Source organism: Homo sapiens, chromosome 1, assembly GCF_000001405.40.
Source record: "Homo sapiens chromosome 1, GRCh38.p14 Primary Assembly".
Taxonomy (NCBI): domain Eukaryota; kingdom Metazoa; phylum Chordata; class Mammalia; order Primates; family Hominidae; genus Homo; species Homo sapiens.
The window spans coordinates 170,521,648-170,531,846 of record NC_000001.11 but is presented as its reverse complement, the minus strand read 5'-3'; the positions used below and the strand labels follow the sequence as shown (position 1 = coordinate 170,531,846).

Sequence of the window (10,199 nt, the reverse complement as noted above, 5' to 3'; positions counted from 1 at the left end):
GGAGATCTAAGTGCCTTTGGGGTCCTGTACCTGTGGGGCGGGAGCGGTGCTCTCTGTGGCTCTTAGTGTGCCCTAAAATCCTTGTGTTTTGCTGGGAGTGTGCACAGCGCTGGAGGCCTCCTTCAGATTAACTCAGGAAATGATCAGATTTAGGATTTTGATGATGAAGAAACATTTAAAAGGGGTGGGGTATAATTGATGAAAAGGGAACAGGCATAACCAGGTCTCTCGCAGGCCGGAGCGGCTCTCAGATTTCTTTTGCTTTGGGTTGTTTCCTTTGTGAATAATTATAATATGTAACTTTCCTCTTAAGGGATTTCTTTTTCTTTTTTTCTTACTTTTTTTTTTTTTTTTTTTTGAGACATAGTTTCGCTCTTGTTGCACAAGCTGGAGTGCAATAGCACGATCTCGGCTCACTGCAACCTCCGCCTCCCGGGTTCAAGCGATTCTCCCGCCTCAGCCTCCCGAGTAGCTGGGATTACAGGCGCCGGCCACCACACCCGGCTAATTTTCTGTATTTTTAGTAGACACGGGGTTTCACCATGTTAGCCAGGCTGGTCTCGAACTCCTGACCTTAGGGTATCCGCCCGCCTCGGGCTTCCAAAGTGTTGGGATTACAAGCGTGAGCCACTGCGCCCGGCCGGGATTTCTTAGTCTCCCCTTTAAATCTGTTTTTCAGAGAAGACATTGTAAAACGTCGGTGCTGGGGGATGGGAAAGCATTTCTTAGGATCCTGCCTGGAATCCTAATACCGTAATTCGGGTTCTGCCTTGAACACTAACCTGAGATCCCATTTCCTCATTTGAAATATGGTTGCAAAGATTAAAAGATGCAAGCGTTGTCAAAATACACATAGATAAGGATGATTCAAGAGAGACCTAGTTATACTATTTTTCATGGTTCTCTTTCACTATTTTTGCAGTAAGAACAACAAAACACCTCATCTTGGCTTACATTTTAAAATACTTTGGCTTTAGTGTGTTGATATTTTTAAACAAAATGAAAGAAAGGAGTAAAGTACAAAATAAAACACGTCAAGAAAAGTTGAAATGAGTACTTCAGATTTAGTAAGTGATAAAAAGTGAAGGATGTTTGGAATTTCCCATGTAAATCCGAGCTTTTAAAACTTAAAGTGGTTTCTGAAATTTGGGGATGCTGCAGATGCGTCATTTTAAATATGTACTCATTTTTTATAATATTAAACAATCAAAATGCCTGGAGGAGACAGTTACCACCAGTTTCTGAATATAGACTGAATATAGACTACGTATATTCAAGTTATAGATTATCTAGCTCCAAAGTAGTAGATGGGGATCAGTGGCAATCTGGTAGTTAATTCAGTTTCCTAGTTGCAGGCAACCGCCATCTAGTTCATCTAATAACAGTAAACCACCTTGTGTGCCCCATGTTGAATTTTATACATAAATGTTCTTTAGTTCACTCTGGGGGAATTTCAAAAATTATCCGTAATCTTAATAAAGATGTAAATTAGGATATTTTAAAAGGTTTTGCATTGGCCCTTAATGAGAACCAAAGCGAAAGTGACACGTGGTAAAAGATAATAAAATCCGTCTGTATAAAAGTTATAATTTCCAGTTTGCTAGGTTCTAAATCTCCTGTTTGTTGTTTCTGTTGGCTCTCCCTCATGGTGGCTAGTTTCTTCAAATGTTGTGTAATATTTAAGTGGGAATTTATCTTCAAAGTTCTTTGTTCTGCAGAAGTCTTCTCTTCCTTGAGTTAAGAAAGTGTCTCTACAGATTGGTTTTATTGGTCCTAAAGTTTCAGTTGTTTTAATCCAGATTTAAGGTAATTTTTTCAGCTTCTACTGTAAATTTGGTTCTTGGGTCCCACCCCCATATATGATATAGGACTCAGGTCTCAGTATTTTTTAATTGCCTTTATATGTATACAAATTATACACAACTTTATTTCAACAATCTTGTCTTCAAATATGTGAAGGAATCCCAATCCCTAGGATCTATATTTACATAGAATCCCCCTTTCTATATCTCTTTAGCTTTCTTTTAAGTTCTATGATGTATTTTTTGATTATGTAAATAAAAACATGTTATATGTTTTTATGTAAACAAAAAACATAATAATATTACTCACAGATAGCAAGCCTCCTTACTGCTTTTCCAAAGCAACAGTCTTAAGTTTTTGTGTTTTTGTTTTTTTTTTAAAGACAGGGTCTCACCCTGTCACGTAGGCTGGAGTGCAGTGGCATGATCTTAGCTCACTGCAACCTCTGTCTCCAGGACTCAAGCGATCCTTCCATGTCTTTGTCTCCAGAGTAGCTGGGGCTATAGGTGCCCACTACCATGCATGGATAATTTTTATATTTTTTTGTGGAGACGAGGTTTGCCATGTTGCTCAGGCTGCTCTCCAACTCCTGAGCTCAAGCGGTCTGCCCAACTGGGCCTCCCACTTGCTGGGATCACAGGCATGAGCCACTGTGCCTGGAGTTTTTCTAACCCTCTGTGATCATATGGTCTGTCTTTTCTAGACTCAGCTTTATTTCAGCAATCTTGTCTTCAAATTATGTGTAGGAATCCCAATCCCCAGGACCTATATCTAGGTAGAGGCCCCCCCTTTCAACATCTTCTTTGCTTTCTTTTAGGCTCTGTGATATATATTTTTTGTTTACATAAATAAGAACATGTTATACAGTATTTAGCATCTTTATGTGTTTATAGAAGGGGACCACCTATGACAATTTAGACAATATCTCTGGTTGATTCTCCATCAGAGCGCCTAGAATATAAAAATGAAGACTAATTGTGTCTGTAGCCTGGTCAAAACAGTAAAATGCTTTCCCAGCACACTTTGAATAAAATCCCAGTTCCTGCATGTTCCTACATGATCTCACCCCTGTCTACCTCTCTTATGTGATCATTAGGCTGTCTTTCCCTTTACTCTGCACTCACTATAATCCAGCCAAAATTGGCATTCGTTGGGGTTTTGGAATACACCAGACTCTCTTTTCTACTATCCTCTACTACCTACCCAGAGCTTTCCCAAATGCTGTCCTTTAATTATTATCTTTCCCTTGTCTGGCTGGTTCTTCCTGCTTCTTTACGCTTTGGCCTTAAATATTCACATAGACGTTCTATGACCACCCTATCTAAGTAGCACCCGCCCACTTCTATGTTTTTTATAACTTTTTACAGCACTAATTAAAAGTTCTCATCTCTTCTGTCTACAGACTGAGCTCCTTGCTTTACCAGCATTTATCCTCGAATGTAAAGTGACCCATCCAATTCCCTTTTTTATACTGCCAGTTGCCTCTCTTCCTTTCCTGTCCCTGCTCCTTTGCCTGACTCTTCATTTCTACCTACGACTTGGGGATATAGGACTGCCTTTCTAACCCTTATGCCTTCCTTACTCAGGATCTGTAAGTAAAAATCTTTGAACTTATTTCCTATTGTGGTTGTGTATTGAATTTGTGCCTTCCATCTGGAGAACATGGGGCTACCCCAGACCAAGTTTTGCCCTGGAGAAACACAGGTTGGACTCCCAGTGCCAGAGCAGTGGTCAGAAAGGCATTGAGTGGATGTGGGTCAGACAAGAGCCACAAGGGTGTCTGCCAGTATAAAAGAGATCACCCTGTGAGGGACCCCCTGGTTGTGGGTCAGACAACTAGGATGTCTACCAGGTAAAAGAAGTATCCCATGAAAGGCACTCTGTAAACACCCATATCTAGTTCCCCTTCATTTCCTGTAAGGTCAGGGTTGCTGTGGTACTACAACCCCAGTTTAGCTCTGGGCTCTCAAAACAGTAAGTCTTGCACACCTGTCAGATTTACTTTAAAATACGATGCTATTATAAGTAGCGTTATTTTTAATTTCAATTTTTAATTAGTTTGTTATTTATACCTGCTACAGTCTTAATTTTGGTATACCTCACAAAATTCATATTCTGGAACTTAATCTTCATGTGACAGTATTAAGAGGTGGGGCCTTTAGGAGGTAATTTGATCACGAGGTCAGGGCCCTCATGTATGGGATTAGTGTCCTTATAAAAGAAGCTTGAGGGAGTCGGATTGCCTCTTCCATGTGAATATGGAGCAACAAGATTCCATCTATGAAGCAGAGAGCAAGCCGTTACCAGACACCAAATCTGCCAACACCTTGGTCTTGGACTCCCCAGCCTCTAGAACTGAACAATAAATTTCTGTTGTTTGTAAATTATCTAGTCTAAGGTTTTTTTTATAGTAGCCAAATGAGCTAAGACAATATAGAAATAAAATGGACTCATTGTTGATCTTGTATCCTCTGACCACAATAAACAAATATATTAGTTGTAATCGCATTTTTTGGTAGATTTCATTGGATTGTCTACAAAGACAATCATGTCTGCAAATAAACAGTTTTACATCTTTTTTTTTCTAATCTAGTTGCTTTTTATTTCCTTTTTTGCCTTATTGCACTGGCTAGACCCACCAGTACAATGTTGAATAGAAAAAGCGAGATTGTATACCCTGACTTGATTCTGATCACAAGGGAAAAACATAAAGCCTTTCACCATTAAGCATGATGTTAACTTTAGGTTTTTCATTAATGCCCTTTAACAGCTTATGAAATTCCTTTCTGTTTCTAGTTTTCCGAGAACCTTTCTCAGAATGGATAGTGGATTTTGATGCATGCTTTTTCTGAGTCTATTGAGATGATCATATGATTTTTCTCTTTCATATTGTTAATATAGTCAATTGCATTGAGTGGCCAGTGTTACACTAATCTTGTATTTCTGGGATAAACTCCATTTAGGTATGATATATTATCCTTTTTATATGTTGGGTTTAATTGTTAATATATTTTATTTAGAAATTTTACATATGTTCATGAGGGATATCTGTCTGTAGTTCTGTTTCTTGTAATGTCTTTGTCTGATTTGGGATCAGGGTAATATTCTGACACAATGAGTTGAGAAATAGTCTCTCAAATTTTTTGGCTGACTGTGCTACTGATATTCATTATATACTTGATAGAATTTACCAGTGAAGTCATTTGGAGTTTCCTTTGTGGGAAAGTTTTTAACTTCAAATTTAATAACTTTAATAGATACAGGGCTATTCACATAATCTTCTTGAGTGACTTTGGTGTTTTTTCTCTCAAGATATTTGTCCATTTTATCCAAGTTTTTCAATGTATTGGCATAAAGTTGTTTATAATACTCTTTTATTGCTCAGTAAAGAGTTAACTTAGTGGACTTGGGATGCTCAAACCCTGCACTTGCCCAAGAAAAGACTAGCCTTTGACTGGCTCCTAGGAGATAAGCTCCAAGCTTTTAGAATATCCCACCTAATAAGATCATCTTTATGTACATGGGGCTTTTGGCCTTACCAGATAGTTTATGCTAACAACGTGATTCAGTAAATGGCTGTTTTTGTTTGTTTGTCTTCCTGCGCCATGCTGTATCAGTTTGATGCCTGGAGGGGCTGGAGATTGGGTAGCTAAAGTTAGTTGTATGAGTGCTCTCTGCCTATGTGATTGACCCCCAATAAGAATCCTACACGTCAAAGTGAGCTTCCTGGTTAGCAATCAATACTTTGTATGCATTGTCACACATAATTGCTGGGAGAATTAAGTGCTGTCCACACAAATATACTAGGAAAGGACAGCTGTAAGCTCACACCTGATTTCTCCTGGACTCTTCCCTACGTGTCTTTTAATTTTGCTGATTTTAATCTGAATCCTTTCATTGTGATAAACTGTAACTGTGAGTACGACTGCTTTTCTCAGTTCTATGAGTCTTTCTGGCAAATCATCAAACCTGAGGGTGGCATGGAGACCTCTCATATACTTATCATTCTTTTAATATCTGTAGACTTTGTAGTGATTTCGCTTCTCTACTGATATTGGTAATTTGTGTCTTCTCTCTTTAAAATTTTTTTTGTCACTGTCATTAGAGGTTTATCAGTTTTATTAATTTTTCTCCAAAAAGTTTTTGGTTTTGTTGAACTTTTCTATTGTTTATTGGCTTTCTATTTTATTGATTTCTGTTCTAATCTTTACTGTTGTATTTCTTCCGCTTTCTTTGGATTTCATTTGCTTTTCTTTTCCTAGTTTCTTAGGGTGGAAACTGAGTTCATTAATTTAAAACTTTTCTTCCTTTCTAAATAAGTGCTTAATACAATAAAATTTTCCCTAACTATCACTGTAGCAGCATCCCATGAATTTTGATATACTGTGTCTTTATTTTCATTCAATTCAAAATTCCTTTTTATTTCCTCTTGATTTTTTGATTCATGGATTATTTGAGATTTTGTTATTTGGTTTCCAAATATTTTGGAGCTTTTCTGGAGAACTTTCTCTTATTGGTTCCTATTTTTAGTTCCATGTCATCAAAATTTAATTTGTATAATTTAAATCCTTTTAAATTTATTAAGACTTCTTAAATGTCTCATAATATAGTTTCCCTTTAATTTTTTTTTTTTTTTTGGAGTTTCGCTCTTGTTGCCCAGGCTGGAGTGCAATGGCATGATCTCAGCTCACTGCAACCTCTGCCTCCCAGGTTCAAGTGATTCTCCTGCCTCAGCCTCCTGAGTAGCTGGGATTACAGGCATGCACCACCACGCCCAGCTAATTTTTGTATTTTTAGTAGAGACGGGGTTTCTCCATGTTGGTGAGGTTGGTCTTGAACCCCCGACCTCAGGTGATCTGCCTGCCTCAGCCTCCCAAGATTAGGTTTTTAAGTCCTCTATAGCCTTACTCATTTTCTGACTCCTTGTACTATTATTTATTGAGAGATGAGAAATATCCTATTATAACTGTAGATTTGTTCATTAATCCTTGCAGTTATCTCAGTTTTGTTTCATGTATCTTGAAACTCTGTTATAATAATAACAGGTGAATAAATGTTTGTGTTTGTATGTCTTCTTGATTCTTAGACTCATTTATCATAATGAAATGATCTTTTTCTTCCCCCTAATTTTGGTCTGAAATCTACTTTATCTGATATTAATATAGCCACTGTAACTTTCTTTTGCTAAATATTAGCCTTGGTATATCTTTTTCCTCTTTCCTTTTTCTAATGACTGTATCTATTTCCTTTATAAACTTATTAGCTATATTCTTTGTTTTGTTATTTTAGTAATTGCTCTAGGGTTTGGTATGTATTTTTAACTTATCATAGTCTATCTTCAGGTAGTATCATACCACATGTACTATAAGAACCTTATAAATATACACCTCTGCTTTTTCTCTCCTGGCCTTTATGCTATTGTTTCATACCTTTCATTTATACGTATGTCTTAAAATCCACACTGCAATGTTATCATTTTTGCTAAAATAGTAAGTTAACTTTTAAACAGATTTAAATAAAAATATATATTTACACATGTAGATAAAATTTCCTGTGTTCTTCACTTCTTTGTGTAGATTCATATTTCCACCAGGCATCATTTTCATTCTACCTGATGGGCTTTTTTTTTTTTTTTCTTTTTTAGTATTTCTTACAGTGTAGGTCTGCTGCTGATTAATTCTTTCAGCTTTCATCTGTAGGAAAAGTCTTTATTTTGCCTTAGTTTTCGAAAGACATTTCACTAGACATAAAATTCTAGTTTAACTTTTTTTAAAAAATTACTTTATTCTCTTCCACTCTTCTAGTTTGCATTGTTTCTGATGAGAAATTTGTATCATCACCTTTGCTCCTTACATAATGGGTGTTTTTTCTCTGTCTTTTAAGATTTTTACTTTATCACTGTTTTTGATCAATTTGAATATGATGTACCATGGTATAGTGTGTAGCTTCCTTGCTTTCTTTTTTTTTTTTCTTCTTTTTCTTTCTCTTTCTGTCTTCCTTTTTTTCTCTCTTTGTCTTTCTTTCCTTTTCTCTTTCTTTCTTTCTTTTTCTCTTCTTTCTTTCATTCTTTCTTTTTGTACTTCGGGTTCTTTGAGATACTTGAATGTCTGGGTTTATAGTTTTCATCAAATTTGAAAGTTTTCTGACCATTATTTCCTTAAATATATTATTGTTCTCCCTTCCTTTTTCCTCTTCTTTTGGGGCTTCCATTACATGTTAGCTACTTGAAGTTTTCCTGTAGCTCACTGATGGTCATTTCATTTTTAACATCTTTTTCTCTCTCTTTACTTCATTTTGTATAGTTTCTATTGCTACATCTTTAAGTTCACTAATATTTTTAATAATTTTTTCTCTAATGTCTAATCTTTTATTAATTGAATCTAGTATATTTTTTTATTACAGACGTTGTAGTTCTCATCTCAAGATATTCAATTTAGATAGTTTTTATATCTTTGATTATTTAAGGTATTTTTATATCTTTTCAACATATGGAATACAGGAATGACAAATATTAATATCCATGTCTGCTGATTCTAATAACTATGTTAGTTCTAGGTAAGTTTCAATTGATTAATCTTTTTACTCATTATTTTTATTTTCCTACTTCTTTGCATGACTGGTAATCTTTTGTTTGGTTCAAGACATTGTCAGTTTTACCTTGTTGGGTGCTAGCTATTTTTCTTTTCCTATAAATATTTTTGAGCTTTGTTCTGAGATACACTTAAGTTACTTGAAAATAGGCTTATCTTTTTGAGCCTTGATTTTGGAATTTGTGACATAACCAAAGCAATGGTTAGTCAAGGACTAATTATTCAATGATTAGTCAGGGACTAATTATTTCCTGCTACTAATGCAAGAATCTTCTGAATACTCTACCAAATGCTCTGGGAATTGTAAAGGTTTCCAGTCTGATTGATGGGAACAGGCACTATGCCTGGTCTGGTGTTTTTGCATAGTTCTTTCCCTGGTGTTTTATCCCATTTTGTGCTGCCATATCAGAATACTACAGACTGGGTAATTTATAAATAATAGAAATTTATTTCACAGTTCTGGAGGCTGGGAAATATAAGGTCAAGGTGCCAACAGGTTTGGTGTTGGTAATGGCCTGGTGTTCACTTCCAAGATGGCTGTTAAACATGACGTCCTTTGAAGGGGAGAAAAACTGTTCCTCACATGATAGAAGAGTGGAAGGGCCAAGCAAGGGAGAACCCACTCCTGGAAGCCCTTTTATAAAGGCATTAAACCCGCCCATGCAGATGGAGCCCTTGTGACATAATCGCCTCTTAAAGGCTGTACCTTCCAAAACCATTTTGTTGGCAATTAAATTTTAACATGTGTTTTGGAAGGGACAAACAGTCAAATCATAGCTTCTGGCTCATGTAGTTTCCTCACTTATATGTGCTGATCACCTTGAGGGAGACTGTCTGCTGGTCTCCATGATTCTTCTTCTATGCAGCTCACTCCTTTCTGATACCTCGTCATACAAATTCTAGTTTCCTTGCTCTTCTTGCAGTCTGAGCTTCACCTCCTCAAGTAGGAGTCCTCTAGGATTTGTCCAGTCCCTCCCCTGCCACATGCTGTGGCCTGAGGACTCTCAAGGCAGTCAACTGGGGAAATCATAGGTCTTGCCTCAATTTTTTTCTCATCTCTTAGAGATCACTGTCCTTGGTTGCCTGATATCCTGTCTCTTGAAAACTATTGTTATTCTATTTATTTGTTTATTTTGGGTTTAGAAGGAAACATAAATTAAGTCCCTGTTACTTACTCTGTTTTTGTCAAAAGGGCAAGTCCCAGCAAAGTTTCAACTATTATTCCATTTTGTAGATGAGGAAACTGAGGCACCAAGAGATTAAGTTAGTTGTCCAAGCTTTCACAGCTTGTTAGTCATAGAGCTAGAATTCAAATATTAGCTCTTGAATACTTGAGCAGTATAACTTCAGAATTTACAATTTTAACTACTACTATCTACTTTCATATTACTTCTAAGCTTGCTAAGAACTGGGCAAACATTTCATTAAATGTTTATGTAGCTCATATGAGCAGAATGTGGATGACTAATGGTCCTTAACTCCACATCCCCATGATATTTGCATTTTCAAAAGAATATGCTTATTTATTCAGTATGCTTGTTTATCACATACTATTAAATATATGATAGAAATATGTATTCTAACAAAGAAAAATGAGAAATATTTATGAAGTGTAGCAGAAGCTGTTTTTAGTTATTAACTCTTCCAGTTTCCCTCTACCTTGGAATTTTCTGGCTTGGTTTTCCTAAGTTATTCTTAATTTTTGCCAATTTCTCTTAATCCATTCTCAGACTATTACCAATGGATTAAAAGTTTCCCTTTTTTAAACCTTTGTATCCATTCATCAAAGACTGGGAAAATGGTGGT

The 10,199-nt window shown here is 36.3% G+C and overlaps 1 long non-coding RNA gene across 1 annotated transcript in view; it reads left to right on the top strand.

The window, feature by feature from the left end:
• GORAB-AS1 (GORAB antisense RNA 1) overlaps positions 1-10,199 on the top strand; it is a 71,293-nt gene that overhangs the window by 763 nt on the left and 60,331 nt on the right. The window lies entirely within an intron of this gene.